The sequence below is a fragment of the Homo sapiens genome, chromosome 8 (assembly GCF_000001405.40).
Source record: "Homo sapiens chromosome 8, GRCh38.p14 Primary Assembly".
Taxonomy (NCBI): Eukaryota; Metazoa; Chordata; class Mammalia; order Primates; family Hominidae; genus Homo; species Homo sapiens.
The window spans coordinates 101355580-101373493 of NC_000008.11; the positions used below are offsets into that span (position 1 = coordinate 101355580).

Sequence of the window (17914 nt, forward strand, 5' to 3'; positions counted from 1 at the left end):
TGGCTTGTATCTTGGTCGGGCGTGGTGGCTCACGCCTGTAATCCGGCACTTTGGGAGTCAGAGTTATCTTGAGCAAATAACCTGAGGTCACAGGTTCGAGACTAGCCAGGCCAACATAGTGAAACCCCATCTCTACCAAAAATACAAAAATTAGCCAGGCATGGTGGTGAATGCCTGTAGTCCCAGCTACTTGGGAGGCTGAGGCAGGAGAATTGCTTGAATTTGGGAGGAGGAGGTTGCAGTGAGCTGAGATCACATCACTGCACTCCAGCCTGGGTGACAGAGTGAGACTCTGTCTCAAAAAATGAATAAATACATAAAAATAAAATTAAAAAATAAATCTTTGGCTTGTATCTCATGAGAAATGGAGATAGAAATGTCAGAGGTGTTTGAACCAGAGCAACTCCATCTTGAATAGGGGCTGGGTAAAATGAGGCTAAAACCTACTGGGCTGCATTCCCAAATGGCTAAAGCATTCTAAGTCACAGGATGAAATAGGAGGTCAGCAAAAGACACAGGTTATAAAGACTTTGCTGATAAAACAGGTTGCAGTAAAGAAGCTGGCTAAAACCCACCAAAACCAAGATGGCGATGAGAGTGACCTCTGGTGGTCCTCACTGCTACACTCCCACCAGCACCATGACAGTTTACAAATGCCATGGCAACATCAGGAAGTTACTCTACACGGTCTAAAAAGGGGATTCACCTCTTGTTTAGTATATAATTTTTAAAAACCCATAAAAATGGGCAATCAGCAGCCCTCAGGGCTGCTCTGTCTATGGAGTAGCCATTCTTTTATTCCTTTACTTTCTTAATAAGCTTGCTTTCACGTCACTCTATGGACTCACCCTGAATTCCTTCTTGCACAAGATCCAAGAACCCTCTCTTGGGTTCTGGATCCGGACCCCTTTCCTGTAACAGTAATAGCTATTTCACATTTTTTAAGTGTCACATTAAATGGACTAATAAATTCTAAATACTTAATCTGGTATTTGGCCTAAAACACTATGATTTACTTATTTATACTCCCCTCTCTGCTCCATATCCTGTTTTCCCTAGCTAGATATATATGTTGTTTCAAAAGAATTTAAAAAGGGATGCCTTTTACATATTGTTTGTTTTCTTCTCTTCAAATTCTTCAAATTCTTTCTCTAAATTGCCCAGTAACTCCAAATTCTTTGCTTATCTACCTATCTAGAATTTTTTTGTTAAGGGAAAACAATAAATGTTGTTAAAGTGATGTCTAATTGTTTCCTTGCAGCCAAAACCAACTCAACTGCTACATCGTTTTTCTTTGAATCTTTAAATAATTTCAATTTGGATCAAGTCCAGATAAGTGGAGGTTAAAGGCATATTCGTTAAGGAATTGATCAGAGGTCCTCCACAGACTCCAACCCAGTGATTCTTGCCATGGCTGCACCTTGTGACCCCCTGAAAACCTCTACTGATGCCTTTAAGAATCAAGAGCCTTTAGGGGCTGGCGCGGTGGCTCGCGCCTGTAATCCCAGCACTTTGGGAGGCTGAGGCAGGTAGATCACCTGAGGTTAGGAGTTCGAGACCAGCCTGGCCAACATGGAGAAACCCTGTCTCTACTAAAAATACAAAAATCAGCCAGGTGTGGTGACAACACGCCTGTAATCCCAGCTACTCAGGAGGCTGAGGCAAGAGAATCCCTTGAACCCGGGAGGTGGAGGTTGCAGTGAGCCGAGATCGCGCCACTGCACTCCAGCCTGGGCAACAGAGTGAGACTCTGTCCAAAAAAAAAAAAAAAAATCAAGAGTCTTTAAACATTTCACATCATTTGACTCAGAAATTCCACTTTAGGAATCACTCTATCCTAAGAAAATAGACAGATGTGGACAAAGATATATGCCCAAAGTAGCGCACTTATTTTTATATATATAAAAAGCATCTTTGAAGTCAATTAGAGGCATAGGGAATGATGGTATAAAATATGTATCTTTAAACTACTGCAGATGCTTTAAAAATTAGACTTACACTATGGTGTTAGAAGTCAGGATACCAACACCCTTGGGGTAAAGATAGTGACCAGGAGGGGGCATCAAGAAGGCTTGTGAGGTGCTGGTCATATTCCATTTCTTCATCTGGGTGCTGGATGTTTGTGTGTATTTACTTTGTGAAAATTCATCAAGCTGTATTCTTTTGATATATATATTTGTTAAAAATGATGGCAAAATACACCTAACATAAACTTTATCATGTTAATCAGTTTAAGTTACAGTTTAGTAATGTTAAGTACATTCCCATTGTTGTGATACCAATCTTTTCATCTCGCAAAACTGAAACTCCAAGCTCATTTAACAACTCTCTTTCCTCCCTCCACCTCAGCTCTGGCAACTGCCATTCTACTTTCTGTTTCTATGAATGGGACGACTCCAGGTGCCTCATATAAGTGAAATTATACAGTATTTACCTTTTGGGGAACTTATTTCACTTGGTATAAAGGCCTTACGTTTTATCCATGTTATAGCATAGATCAGAATTTCCTTCCTTTTTAAGGCCAAATAATATCCTATTGAATGGGTGTACCACATTTTGTTTATCCATTCATCTATCAATGGACATTTGGGTTGCTTCCACCTTTTGGCTGTTGTGAGTGATGCTACTATGAACATGAGTATACAAATATCTCTTTGAGACCCTCTTTTAATTCTTTTGTGTATATATCCAGAAGTGGAATAGCTAGAGATATATGCACGTTTTATATGTTTGTTATACTTCAATAAAATATAACTTAAAAAATACTGATTCCTGAGTTTCACCTCTAAATATTCTCAGTAAATGGTCTGGAGCCATGAGTCCTGGGCATTAGAGTTTGCAAAGCCTCCTTAGGGATTCTTACATGAAACCAAAGTTGAGAACCCCTAACTCAAAAGATGCATTTAGTACATTTTCACAGACTACTTGGAGAGGGCTGTGCAGAAGTAGGCATCAGGGCCAATGTGTCCAGTCTTCACATCAGCTTTTGCGTTGTGGCTTTTCTGACCCAGCTCTATCCCTTCAATCTTTTAACTGAGAATCATTCTCCTCACAGGGTAAACTGGACCATGTGTGTCGGTCAATGTTTATGCCTCCCATCATTTGCAGGTAGGGGAGATGACACACCTGGGTCCTCATGTCAGCCCTTGCCACAGTGAGTGGACAGGGCTGGTCTTTCTACCCATAGCACAAGTAGGTAGATGCCTCCATGATGAGATGAAAGGAATAGCCAGGAGAGCCTCCCCAACACACAAATACACACACATACACACACACATTTTCTCCTAGTGGCTACCCAAGAGTCTTCACCTCCTTTTTTTGCCTCACTTAAAGTCCTGACAACAAGTGAGAACCACTTTTAAAAGCCAACTGGCCCTTGCAGGGTTATACATGCACTATCAGCTATTCAAACCATATTGTGAGTTAGTTCAAAGAGATGCTTTTCAATAATACAGCTGGGATATCAGAACATGAAAGCAGGGTTTTCCAGCCCAGTACTGTTGATGTTTTGGGCTTGATAATTCTTTGATGTGGGAAGCTGTCCTGTGCATTGTAAGACATTTAGCAACATCTCTGGCCTCCAACCACTAGAGATGTCAGGAGCACTCCACCCTCAGTTGTAATCACTAAAAATGTCTCCAGACATAGTCAAATGTTTCCTTATTGATGGAAGAAAAGAGGAAGAAGAAATGTTGCAACACAGAAAATTTAGAGGCAGTTGGGCCTGGAAAAGATTGATATCCTCTTACTTCTCATGATCCACTTGTGTCTCAGCCCCAGAAAACCCTCCTTCCTGTTATGGGAATGAGAGACAGGTGCACCATGGGAAATAAGGCACTAAAGACAAAGTCCAAGTGTTACAAAAGAGTGTCTTGCGCCTACATGGAAGCTGTGTAATTTGGCACTGATTGCTCTCCTCCCAGCTTCCTTACTGCCTCCAAAATGTGAAATGTTGTGAGGTTAGGACTTATTATGGAAACCATTCTGCCCCACCCCGTCCCCACAAAAATATTACCAGCTTTTCATGATGACAAAGCTACCTCTTGTGAATGCCATAAATGTGGGTAATTCATTGACACACATCTTGTCATTTATCACATTTAAAATCATATTACATATTTCCAGAGTTTTAAAATTTAAATTTGCAGCTGGGCACAGTGGCTCATGCCTGTAGTCCCAGCTCTTTAGGAGGCTGAAGCAGGAGGATCGTTTGAGCCCAGGAGTTCAAAACTGGGCAACTTGGTGAGCCTGCATATCTACAAAAGATTTTAAAAATTACAGAAAATTTAAATTTGTCCCAATTCTAAAGGACTCTGTGTTGCTAACGTGGAGGTGTTTTTTTTTTTTTTTGAGATGGAGTCTTGCTCTGTAGCCCAGGCTGGACTGCAGTGGTGCGATCTCGGCTCACTGCATGCTCCGCCTCCCGGGTTCACGCCATTCTCCTGCCTCAGCCTTCAGATTAGCTGAGACTAGGCGCCGCCACCACGCCCGGCTAATTTTTTGTATTTTTAGTAGAGATGGGGTTTCACCTTGTTAGCCAAGATGGTCTCAATCTCCTGACCTCGTGATCCGCCCGCCTCAGCCTCCCAAAGTGCTGGGATTACAGGCGTAAGCCACTGCGCCCAGCCACGTGGAGATATTTTTAAGCACTACATACAGATGGAAAGCAGAGGAACAGTGCTGGCTGAGAGCTGAGCTCTGCTTTCAGGGGAGACCCTGAACCTCTGACCCAGACTTCCAGCCACTCTCTTCCTCTCGGACTCTTTTTTTTTTTTTTTTTTTTTACCTTGGAGCAGGAATCTTAAAGGCAGCCACATGCAGTGGCTCACGCCTGTAATCCCAGCACTTTGGGAGGCCGAGGCGGGTGGATTGCCTGAGATCAGGAGTTTGAGATCAGCCTGGGCAACATGGTGAAATTCCGTCTCTACTAAAAACACAAAAAATTAGGGGGGCATGGTGGTACATGACTGTAGTCCTAGCTACTTGGGAGGCTAAGGTAGGACGATCGCTTGAGCCCGGGATGTCGAGGCTGCAGTGAGCGGAGATTGTGCCACTGCACTCCAGCCTGGGTGACAGACGGAGTCCCTGTCGGGGGAAAAAAAAAAAAAAAAGAATCTTAAAAGCTACTTTCCAGGACCGTCTCTAACTGACAGAGCCTGTTTCACGCCTTTTTCTTCTTCCATTCTGTCCTCTTCACCTGCGGCTTCTGCTTTATTAGGGTTATGGGGCCCTAAGCCCCTCTTTTGTGAGGAACATTCAGCCAACACTTTGTTGCAGGCAGGGGAGTCGGCTGGCCTGAAGGTGCAGACACCACCCCAAGCTCCAGTGTCCTCTGGCCGCTGCTCCGCCAGCTCAGCTCATGACCCTCACGGGCAGCCGTCTTGCAAAGAAAGGCGATGAGTAAACAAAGCATTTGCCACAGGAGTTTGGCTCAGATTTAATAGAGGACGTGTGCAGTCTTTCAGTGTTCCTCGGCCCACAAGCTTTAACCACTGTACAAACTGATTTAGAACACTAAAGCTCCACTGTTTGTTTAGTGACTTTATTGACTCAATTCCCGCCTCTCAGGCAGGTGGCCCCGGCAGGCAGCCCCGTCATTGTTCTGACTGGGTTCTCCTCAGTGACACCGTGGCCTTCCTGCTGAGAGTTCCTTTCTTTATTTCATTTTTTCTGGTCCTTAAAAAGTTGGGCAATCAAGTCACAGTTACAGGTGTAGTGTTTCATTTTGAAAGAGGTTTAATTCACTCCAGTCAGCATTTGCAGCGGTCAAATTGGGTTTGTGGTGTAATACGGACTTTTCCACTTTCCCCTTGGCTAAAGCGAAGGGCTGATTTCCTGGGTGACCGTGAGGAGTGCCGTTACTATTGTGGCGTATTAACTCTTTCTGAACCTCGGGCCTCATTTGTCAGTGGCTTTCAAGGTGCCCTAATGTATAATTAAGATATACAGTAAGACAGATGCAAAGCGTTTGCAAACTTCCTGTGGTGCCTGGCTCCACTATTGATTTGGCCCAAAACAAAAAATATTTTCATTGTTCATTGCAAGAACAACATCATTTATTAAACATACACTGTGCAAAGTACATTGTCTAGTGAGGTTTTTCCTTAGATGCATTGGCTTCTTTGAGCATCACCATAAACTTTTGTGCTGGGTATTACTGCTGTCTTTTATCAGACAGGGACAGTGAGGACCGGAAAGGTGAAGTGGCTTGCCCACAGTCCCTTCATGTCTGGAGGCAGAGCAGGAATGTGATCCAAGTGACCTGACCACTTCCACTCATCAAGGAGAAAAGGAATTCCCACAGGCTTTAAAAGGCGGTCACAGTCACATGAGTGGTCTGGTGAGCTATGCCTATAGTGGCACAAGTGGGTTTGCTGGGCTCGTGCCTCTCAGAGGCCACTTGGCAACTTCTCCCGGTGGCACAGCGCTGTCCTTGGACAACTACCTCAAGCTTTCTCATCAGAGGACAGAGCTCTTGTGTCACCTGATCTTGTTGCCGGTAAGGAAGTTGGGAGCAGCATATATGCACACACATTCTCTCAGACACACAGCCACATGCCCATTCACACAATGCACATTTGCATAACCACACGCACACTATCAGGCACACAGACATGCACACTCACACATTCACTCGGACACACACATACACTCTCAATACACTCATACATATACCCACGCACCTGTCCACCCTCGATACACTCATAACCCACACACCTGTCCACCCTTGATACACTCACACATACACCCACACACCTGTCCACCCTCGATACACTCACACACACACCTATCCACCCTTGATACACTCACACATACACCCACACACCTCTCCACCCTCGATACACTCACACATACACCCACACACCTGTCCAACCTCGGTACACTCACGCATACAACCACACACCTGTCCACCCTCGGTACACTCACACATACACCCACATACCTATCCAACCTCGGTACACTCACATAGACACACACACCTATCCAACCTCGGTACACTTACGCATAGACTCACACACCTCTCCACCCTCGATACACTCACACATACACCCACACACCTGTCCACCCTTGGTACACTCACACACTCATTCCCACTTTCATTTATACAATCATGCATGCACGCATGATACATCACTCACATATGCTCACAAATGCACTCATGCAGTTACAACCCCCCATGTGCACAAATTCATACCCATACACTCATTCATACTTTCACTCACACATACATGCACATTCATTAACCCACAAACTCACACACATGCACTCACATTCACACACACACTCCTGCATGTGTACATCTCTTGCTTTCCTGCATAGAAACTGAGTACACACTGGGGTGCAAGATCAGGAGGCCAGCACCCAATATAATAAACTGCCAGAGAGGCGGGTGGTGTGCTGTGAGGTTTTGTGACTTTCCAAGGCCACTTGAAATAATCTGAGAATTTACAGCAAGGACAGGGAATTGTTGTAAAGAAAATTGGTCTGTATTCTAACATTAATTGCCCCCAGCCTTCATGAATCAGATTTTTGGCACCAGCACCTTAGCTCAAAGCATACCCTTTGAGGCCTCATGCATTAGCTCTGAGACCTTGAGCAAGCAGCCTACCTTCTCTTTGCCTCTATTTCCTTATCTGTAAAATAGGGATAATAACAGTGCTTGCCTTATAGTTATGAATATTAAACAAGCCAGTATATGCCAAGCTGGTGGACCAGGGCATGCACAAACTGATTGTGAACAAATGTGTTCACAATCCGTGGGGTTTTAATGGCTTGGGTTGGCCTACCATTATGAACCAGTAACAATGGGTACTAAAGACACACATTAATTTTGAGACTTCATTATGGAAATGAGGTCTCAGGAGAGATGAACCAAGCTTTGAGGACTTTCTGTCCTAGTGGCTCAATCTATGTAAACTTTCATTTGAAAAACTTTCAAGGCAGAACAGGGATTTTTCCTTCTGAGTCTCAGAGCCGTTTTGACTCCCTTAGGCAGTGAATCACCATCTGCCACCTGGGTCAGATAGGGAGAATCACAGACTGCTGGAAAGATCAGGATTGGCACTTTGCTATCTCCCAAACCCTCAGTTAAAGGAATCCTCATCTTGTGAGAATTTTGCAAAACCCAATTGGAGAAGGAGCCACGCAACAAATAAAAATCTTATTTTTGGGCTCGGCTTACTTGTAAGTAGGTAGAATCTATGAATCAACGCATTTAATCTGTGATTCAAACAGATCTCTTTGGCCAGGTGCAGTGGCTTATGCCTGTAATCCCAGCACTTTGGGAGGCTAAGGCAGGTGGATCATGAGGTCAGGAGTTTGAGACCAGCCTGGCCAACATGGTGAAACCCCATCTCTACTAAAAATACAAAAATTATCTGGGTGTGGTGGTGTGTGCTTGTAATCCCAGCTACTGGGGAGGCCGAGGCAGGAGAATCGCTTGGACCTAAGAGGTGGAGGTTGCAGTGAGCTGAGATCGCACCACTGCACTCCAGCCTGGGTGACAGAGCAAGACTCCATCTCAAAAATAAAATAAAATAAAATAAAATAAAAGCTCTCCTTTTGAAAGTTATAGAAGAAACTGAAATTATTTTAATTAAGAGTAGTCAGACCCATGACACTATTTTGTTCTATTTCTTTCCTTTGATCAGGTCTGGGATCATTTTTCAAATCTTCCAATCATTATCTTAGTCACCTCCCCACCTTCCTTTTCCTGTGTGTTCATCTGCTCAGGCACCCTGGCAGTGGTTGCTTTGTTAACAGCCCTGGGCCACACCTTCTCTCTCCTTTGCTCTGTGGTGGTCTACGTCTTGATTCCATGTGAATGGCTCCTTTCAGAAAGTCCCACCATAATCAAACCAACTACACGTGGTTCCTCTCTTTTCCAACCCACCTCCCACCCAAGTTAGGCCAATGCCTGATCAGAAAGGCACTATTTATTCGCCTTAGAATTTCAACTATTTCCTTATCAGAGCACTCATCTCATCAAAGGAGAGACCAAAAAGAGGCTATTTTATAGTCTGTGGAAGTAAAAGTTCTTCTCTCTCCTTCATCCTCTAAGAGATAAATGGAGATTACGCAAGTGATTTTCCTTTATAATTTGCTTTTTGTTTAAAATTTCCCCCATGTTTACAAAATAATTCCTATCTATGCCTAGAGAATTATTGGAATGAGAGTCACTGAATGCTAATAATAGTTACTTAGGGAGGTGGCATCCAGGGTGATTTTTATTTAAGATACTGGTTCCTGCTCTTTAGTTTTCTGTATTGATTGACTTAAAAATGAACATGTAAAGTTTCGTTAAAAAATAAGGCCATTTAAAACATTTTTTTTTTTGGTTTATCTTAGAGATGGGAGTCTCTTTATGTTGCCCAGGCTGGACTCGAACTGCTGGGCTCAAATGATCCTCCCCGCTCAACCTCCAGAGCAGCTGGGACTACAGGCGCACATGACCATGCCTGGCTTAAAAGAAAGCCATTTTAAGAAGGAATTTTTAAAAGCACACACACAGCAACAATGCCGTACTTTTTCAAATGATTTTGTGTGTGTGTTAGTTTCTGAATACCTCACTCAGCAGACCAGTTAACCTTACAGGCCATGTTAACACATTTCTTCTCAAGCTCCGTTCAAGGCACGTTTTGAAGGCAAAAAGAAAGTTTCTATGGATGTGGAGGAAATATTCCCCTTCATTTCAGAAGGCATAGTTGAATTATATTATCAGCTCAGGAAGCCTTTGTAAAATGTACCTAATGGGCTTTTTTTTTTTTTTTTTTTTTAGATTTAGATTTTTTTTTTTTTGATCAAACTTCTTTAAAGACAACCAAAATGGTCAGTTGGGAAAACTGTTCAGAGGTTACAGCATGTGGGCTCTTCCCAGCATCTTTAAAAAGAAAGAGACTAGCCAGGTGTGGTGGTGCATGCCTATAGTCTCAGCTACTCGGTAGGCTGAGGCAGGAGGACCATTTGAGCTCAGGAGTTCGAGGCTGCAGTGAGGTATGATCGCTACACTGCACTCCAGCCAGGGTGACAGAGCAAGAGCACATCTTTAAAAAATTAATAATAACTAATAAAATAATTTAAAAGAAAGTGAGTCCTGCTATAAATAAATGTCAGTTTTCCCTTGTTGAGCATCACCAGCTACGCTTTGGATATGCATTCTTGGAGTTGATTTCAACTTTTTTTTCTTTTTTTGAGGAGCATGCTTAGATTTCAACTTTTAACTGAAGTGTAATATGCATGGAAAAGTGCAGATATCATAAATATACAACTCAATTAATTTTTAAACTAAACATTCTTGTATAACCATCACTCAGATCAAGAAACAGAATCTTATACACCTGTGTATCTACAAAGATTTAAAAAATAAAAAAGGGGGAAAAAAGAATCAGTATACAATATATTAGTGCCCCAGAAGTGCCCCTCATATCTTCTTACAATCACTAACCCCCCACCTCCTCCCCAAGGGTAACCATAATCTTTTTATTATTATTATTATTACTAAGTTTATTTTCATTGTCTCAGGTCTGCTGAACTCTGGATCCAGGCTGTGTCAATAGGGTAGTGTGATGCCTCCTGTACCTATCTGTGCCTCCTATAGTCCTTTCTATTTTATTTCATTTTTGATAGTAGAGACAGGGTCTTGCTCTGTTGCCCAGGCTGGTTTCAAATTCCTGGGCTCAAGCAATCTTCCTGCCTCAGCCTCCCAGAGTGCTGGGATTGCAAGTGTGAGTCACCACATCCAGCTAAGTCCTTTCCCATCTCCCAGGAAGACTATGAGAGAGATTTGGGACCCAAGTTGATAATATCAAATACACTGAACTTGACTGTGTTCACCGTGTTCTGGCTCTAGAGAAATGAGAGTTGCTAGTGAGGGCGGTGCCATTCTGTGTATCTTCTGTACCTTGAAAGTCTCTCAGAAATCTTGCCCCTGGTCTTCTTGTTCTAAGGACACAACAGCTTCCCTTTTTCTCTGGAGATGAAATCCAGATCTTTGATTTTGGAACCAAATTTGGACTCTTGACTCTGGAACACTAATTTCTTTAGCAAGTTGTTTCCTGGAATCAATCCTAAGGTATGGGTTTTTCAAAAATGCCTTGATGAGAGTGCATAATTGAGAGGCGCCGTAGGTGGTACAACACTGTCTGGCTTCGCTACTTTGAAACTCTGCACCAGGTTGATCTTGTCCATGGCTCTGGCTTGATTCTAAAGTCTCTGGTTCTGGTCTTTTCTGGAATCCATGCCTAGCTCTTCAATTCTGAAACCAAATTTGGATTCTTGACTCTTCTGTATTGATTTATAAAGCAAGGTTTTGTTTGGTAGAATAACCTGAGCAAGGTTTTGGATCGAATGTAGTGGTGAGGATTTTCAATTGTTCTGTGAGTTTGGTGCGACTGCACCTATAATTTGTTGCTACCATCTTGTGTGAAGAGGTGTCTTTGGTCATGCTGGAAGAGAGTCCTGGAAGCTGAAGTAATGTGTTGGAGACCCATGATCTCAAATTCTTAGTTTTGCCAGTTTTGTACTTTATGTAGGTGCAGTATTGACTGTTTCCTGTCTAGCTTTTCGTTCAAACTCATGCTTGTGAAATTCATCTAATTTTGCATGTAATTATAGATAATTCATTTTCTTTTTTGTATGGTATTCTGTGCAAATATATTACAATTTATTTATCCATGCTACTGTACATGGTCGTTTGGGTAATTTCAGTTTTGAGCTATTATAATTAGTACTATGCACATCTAGTACATCACTTTTGGTAAACATTGTAAACATTTCTGTTGGGTATGTGCATAGGAGCAAAATAGGGTATGCAAATGTTTAGCTTTGCTAGATACTACTCAACAGTTTTCTGAAGTAGTTGTACCAATTTACCACCAGCCATACATGAGTCCCAGTGGAATTGGAATAGAAATGTAGAATTTTAATTTTTATAAGATTTGTGCTGAATGGTAACTGTGGAGATACCCTGAGCCCAAAGATGATGAGGCAGAGGAGTTTTTCCAAAAAGTTCGAATCACCATTACTTTTTCACATTCATTTTCAGGTCAAAACATCCCTGCATGTCAGGTGTGCTGGTGCATGCCTGTAGTCCCAGCTACTCAGGAGGCTGAGGCAGGAGAATTGCTTGAGCCCAGGAGTTTGAGGCTGCAGTGAACTATGATCACACCACCGGACTCCAGCCTGGGTGACAAGGTGAGACCCTGTCTCTAAAAAAACAGTGAAATAAATAATAATAATGATAATCATAATAAATCCCTGTAAAATAGACAGAGGTATGCCTTATGCCGTTTTCTCTTGAAGCTGAGGAAATAAGACAAAAGAGATCAAAATGTTTTTTCTAAGAGCCCTACTAATCCTGTATTTCCCACTCTAGCTCCAGAGCTTTGATTTTAGGTGCATGTGCCTACCTGTGAATTTGTTACAGAAAAGGCATGCTCAGGCTGAGGCTGGCATTTCTATAACATTGCTAGTTTCAAACAACAAGTTTGAATGCCATGAACCCTCATAGCATGTGAGGGTTTATTCAGCTGACAATTAGCCAGGTAGAAGGGGCATATTCAAAAACTCACTTGCCTGAACTTGGAGCTTTTCTGACAGTTTTTTCTTTGTTTGTTTTCGAGACAGAGTCTCACTCTGTCACCCAGGGTGGAGTGCAGTGGCATGATCTCAGCTCACTGCAACCTCCACCTCACAGGTTCAAGTGATTCTCCTGCTTCAGCCTCCCGAGTAGCTGGGATTACAGGCATGCGCCACCACGCCTGGCTAATTTTTTTGTATTTTTAAGTAGAGACAAGGTTTCACCATGTTGGCCAGGCTGGTCTCGAACTCCTGACATCAGGTGATCTGCCCACCTCGGCCTCCCAAGGTGCTCAGATTACAGGTGCTGACAGTTTTAAATGGAAAAAGGAGCCTGTCCAGGTTTCCTAGCCTGGTTTCTCATCAGACTCAGCTGGGCGGCTTTTTAAGCTACAGGTTTCCCCATCCCCACTCAAGGACAATTGAATTGAGGTCCTCGGAATTGGGACTTGGGAATCTGTATTTTATAAAGTTCTCAAGCGGTTCTGATTTAACTGGAGGCCAACAGCAAACCTTTGATTGGAATCACTGTTGCTCTCAGTTTTTTAAAGAGGATAACCATCCAATACACTTAACCGAAATCCTGAGAACAAGAAGAGAAAATAAATTTAAAATCAGACTTTCCCCCCTTCTTTACAGCATTCTATCAAAATACAGTGTTTTGGGCGTCCGGCTTCCTTCTGCAACAGACGTGGGTCACGCTCTCTCTGGCTCTCTTTCTGCCGCCATCTTGATTCCACGTTCCCTCCACAAAATGCCTGGCGAAGCCACAGAAACCGTCCCTGCTATAGAGCAGCAGTTGCTGCAGCCCCAGGCTGAGACAGGGTCTGGAACAGAATCTGACAGTGATGAGTCAGTACCAGAGCTTGAAGAACAGGATTCCACCCAGGTAACCGCACAAGTCCAGTTGGTGGTAGCAGCTGAAATTGATGAAGAACCAGTCAGTAAAGCAAAACAGAGGCGGAGTGAAAAGAAGGCACGGAAGGCTAGGTTCAAACTGGGTCTTCAACAGGTTACAGGAGTTACTAGAGTCACCATCCGGAAATCTAAGAATATCCTCTTTGTCATCACAAAACCAGATGTCTACAAGAGCCCGCTTCGGATACCTACATGGTTTTTGGGGAAGCCAAGATTGAAGATTTATCTCAGGAAGCACAACTAGCAGCTGCTGAGAAATTCAAAGTTCAAGGTGAAGCTGTCTCAAACATTCAAGAAAACACACAGACTCCAACTGTACAAGAGGGCAGTGAAGACGAAGAGGTCGATGAAACAGGTGTAGAAATTAAGGATATAGAATTGGTCCTGTCACAAGCAAATGTGTGGGGAGCAAAGGCAGTCCGAGCCCTGAAGAACAGTAATGATATTGTAAATGCTATTATGGAATTAACAATGTAACCATCTGAAAGCAACTTTTTTGGTGTCTCAGATGAGTAACTGCAGCTTGGTTTGAAATTTGTACTGTTTCTATCATAAATAAAGTTATGGCTTCTTGTTGGATGAAAAAAAAAAGACAGTATTTTGCCAAATTAAACAGAAAAGAGAGTTCAGTGGAAGATGGCTCTGATTTCAGGGTAATAATAATGGTAGGTAACAATTAAATGGCATTTAAAAATTTGCTGAATGCTTGCTACGAGCGGTGGCTCATGCCTGAATCTCAGCACTTTGGGAGGCCAAGGCAGGCAGATCATCTGAGGTCATGAGTTCGAGACCAGCCTGGCCAACATGATGAAACCCTGTCTCTACTAAAAATACAAAAATTAGCTGGGCATGGTGGTGCACACCTGTAATCCCAGTTACTCAGGAGGCTGAGGCAGGAGAATCACTTGAATCCAGAAGGCGGAGGTTGCAGTGAGCTGAGATTGCACCACGGCACTCCAGCCTGGGTGACAGAGTGAGACTCTGTCTCAAAAAAAAAAAAAAAAAATTGTTGAATGCTTTCACATATTTTATTTCACTTAATCACTCAAGATCTCTTTAAGGTAGACATAATAATCCTCAATCTACAGAAGATGATATTGAGGCTTGGGGGTTAAATGCCTCATCTAAGGACACACATGCATGAAATGGCATAACTAGGACACAAACCCAAGTCTCCTGATTCCAAATTTTACCTATTTCTCACTATCCCCCAGTGCTCTGGGAGTCAGGAAGCTCCCTCAAGGCCAACAGGAATTGAGTGTTTTGACAACTTTGAATGAGCGCCATGAGTCTAACTGGACTCCATTCCATTTGCCTCCCCTCCCTTTCTTTGCTCTTCTCCCTTCCTTCAATATCCTTTTAGTGTCTCCCAAGCAACAGGTCATTTGCAATGTGGCAGGGAACCAGAGATTAAAGAAAAAGTCCTTACCCTAAAAAAATTCATAGTTTAGTGGGGAGATAGACAAATCATTGTGTGGTGATGCACTAAACGTCAACCCAAATAGGTCAAAATGGGAAGGGAAAATTATGCCCTGATCACCCATCCAAGTGGCCATGTAAATTTATAAGAAGGCTACATTCCCAAAGGTAAGAAGAACTTGCTTTGATGTACTCTCACTTCAAAGGAGGCTGTTTTATTTGGAAACAATTCCTCTGCCTTCAATATCCTATGAGTATATCCCTCAAAATGTGTGTTTAGATCTTTAATTCTATAACATGTGTTTACCTTTTCCTGATTAAATTCAGAAGAATGCCATCTTATTAGTGGTTCATTTGCATACTCTTTCAGGAATGATCAATGTTCAAAGAGGTATAGGGGCCTTAAAGAAGTATGGGAGGGCCAGGAGTGGTGGCTCACACCTGTGATCCCAACACTTTCAGAGGCCGAGGCAAACAAATCATGAGATCAGGAGTTCGAGACCAGCCTAGCCAGCATGGTGAAACCCCGTCTCTACTAAAACAAAACAAAACAAAACAAAACAAAACAAAACAAAACAAAACAGCATAGGGATAGGCTTAGAGATTTCTTTCTAGGTCGTGTGTATAGGAAAAACAACTTCCAAGATGCTAGGGAAGTAATTCTGTTTGTAGTCAGCAACCAGGCTGGATAGAGCATGGGTAGGTAGATGAGTGTGTTCGCAGGTGTGTGGCAGAGGTCAGTAGCAGACAAATTTTCCAACATACTACTTCAATAATTGTCTTCATTAGTAGCAATAAAGTATACATGTTGCTTTCAAACACCTAAGAATTATTCGACAATAATAAATAGTTGCTAGGTGCTCCCTGGGTACCAGCAGCTTCTTAGGCACAGGGTCCATAGTGGAAAAGGAGACAGATACGTTCCTGCTCCATGCTTCTCCAAATAGACTACTGATGACCAATCAAACATTCCTAGAAAATTGAGTGTGAGCATTGCTCTTAAATCTAACACTTTCCATCATTGCTTAACCCACTTGACATTTCTGAAGCCTCACACACTCTTGATGGCCCATTTCTGAGTATTAGTCTCCTTCTCATCTTCATTATGTCCCCTCTGAGCAATTGTGACATCCTCTCCCCTTCCCTCTCTGCACCAGGGTCTCCAACTTTGAATCCAGTCTCATCTTTCAGTTTTCCATCGATGTTATCTTTGTTCTCCTTTCCAACTATAAATAACGATAACTGACAATTGCATGGGCTTTTAAAACATTTACAAAGAAAGTTCCATCCATTATCTGAATCAAAAATCATTGAAAGCCTCATTGAGTCCTGGCCCCAGCCCTCAAGGAGAGCGCTGAGGTTCATCCGAGACAACACAATCATCGTGTGATGGACTCACACTGTCTTCTAATCCTTGATTCTGGTTCTTTCTGTTTCATGGGGGTTCCTAGGAAGCACACCTTGGGATGAAGGTTCACATGTAGGAGGTTTATAAGGAATATTTTTGGGGCCAGTGCCTGTGGAAAATAAGGGGAGGAAGCAGGATTGGGCAGAGGAAGAAGTCGCGCTGCAGTACAATCTCAAAGAAAGTCTCATTTGACCTGACTTAGAATTCTGAAGATGGGATGACTCTCCTGAACTGTCTGCTTGTGAAGTTAGACTGACAGCTGAGGGTCGTGGGCTGGCAGCACCCTCAGCAGCGAGGGGGGTGAGTCCTTCAGTCGTGGATGGGCATCTGGGTAGTGCATCATGGCATCCACAACACGATTCCTCATGCATGACATTCACTCAACATAAATGACTTGACTTGCTGTCTTGAGCCTCAGTATCTAGAGCAGGGAGCTCATGGAGAAGGGAAGCTGAGTGCCTGGGGCCAGGACCACTACCCTTGGTGGAGGCAGAGCAAAAAAAGAGGCTAGAATGAGTCTGATCAAATCCCAGCAGATAAATGAGCAAAGGCCGAGGTCAGAGCAAAGCAGGCAACCATATTTCCTACCTCAAGTGTTTTCTATTTTATTTTATTTTATTTTTTTTACAGATTCCCACAAAGGCTGTCCTGGAAATTCACCAACATCACCGCTAAAATGTCTAACCACATTGTCAACTGTGCTGCCTGGTCAAGGACTGAGGACCTGTCTCAGAGTGATCTTCCTTAATCACAGATCTAGTCATGACCTGGTTTTGCTCAAAATGTTTCAATGGCTCCCGATTGCCTGGAGAATGAATTTCAAATTTCTAAGTAGACTCTTCCAGCTCTTCAAACCTATCCTCATCAGCCTCTCTAGCACCATCTCTGGTGACTCCTCTTGTGGCCCTGGGAGAGCCACACCAGGCTGCTGTTCTCATCTCCTTCAAATGGGCAGCCTGTTGTCCTAGCCCTGTGGCTCTGCCTTTGCTGATCCTGTCACTTGAATGATCCTCTCTCTCTTCTGGGTCTGGTAAAATCTCTCTTCTGTAAAGCTGTTGAGAATGCCTCCTCCATATCCAGCTGTAAGTAATCACTCTTTCTGAATGCTTTGTTTATACTGTTATAGTAGCACTTAGCAAACTTTACTGCACTTCACTGCATGCAAATCTGATAGGTCACTCTGATAGAATGTAAACTCCGTGAAGGCCAGCCTGGGCTCCTCCATGTCAGCAGAGCTCCATAAATACTTTAATGTTTTAAATGAGTAATGAATAAACCGTTTTAAAAAATACTTTCTCTTTTACTCCTATCAGATCTTTCCAGGAAGGATAAGCTGGAGAAAAATTGTTTCTACTGAGAATTCACTTTAATATAAGGCTCCCTGAGAAGAGGTTCTGAAATAAACAAAATAGCTGGCACCATCATGAGATCCTAGAAATGCTCCTTGGACAAACCTGAAGGTCCTCAGGAAGTGAGGTGCCTAATGCCGTAGCCTTGGGTGATTTGCTGCGATGCTCTCTCTGTTAGAAAGAAAGTTTAAAAAATAAAAGCTTTTTTTTTTTTTTTTGAGACAGAGTTTCTGTTGTCCAGGCT

The 17914-nt window shown here is 42.9% G+C and overlaps 2 pseudogenes across 1 annotated transcript; one reads left to right on the forward strand and one right to left on the reverse strand.

Moving 5' to 3' along the window:
- Nucleotides 1–10558: 10558 nt before the first annotated feature.
- On the reverse strand, nt 10559–11485 carry DUXAP2 (double homeobox A pseudogene 2; annotated as a pseudogene).
- On the forward strand, nt 13314–14016 carry NACA4P (NACA family member 4, pseudogene; annotated as a pseudogene). The gene has a single exon (NR_002182.1). The product of NR_002182.1 is annotated as an NACA family member 4, pseudogene (transcript).
- Nucleotides 14017–17914: the final 3898 nt, after the last annotated feature.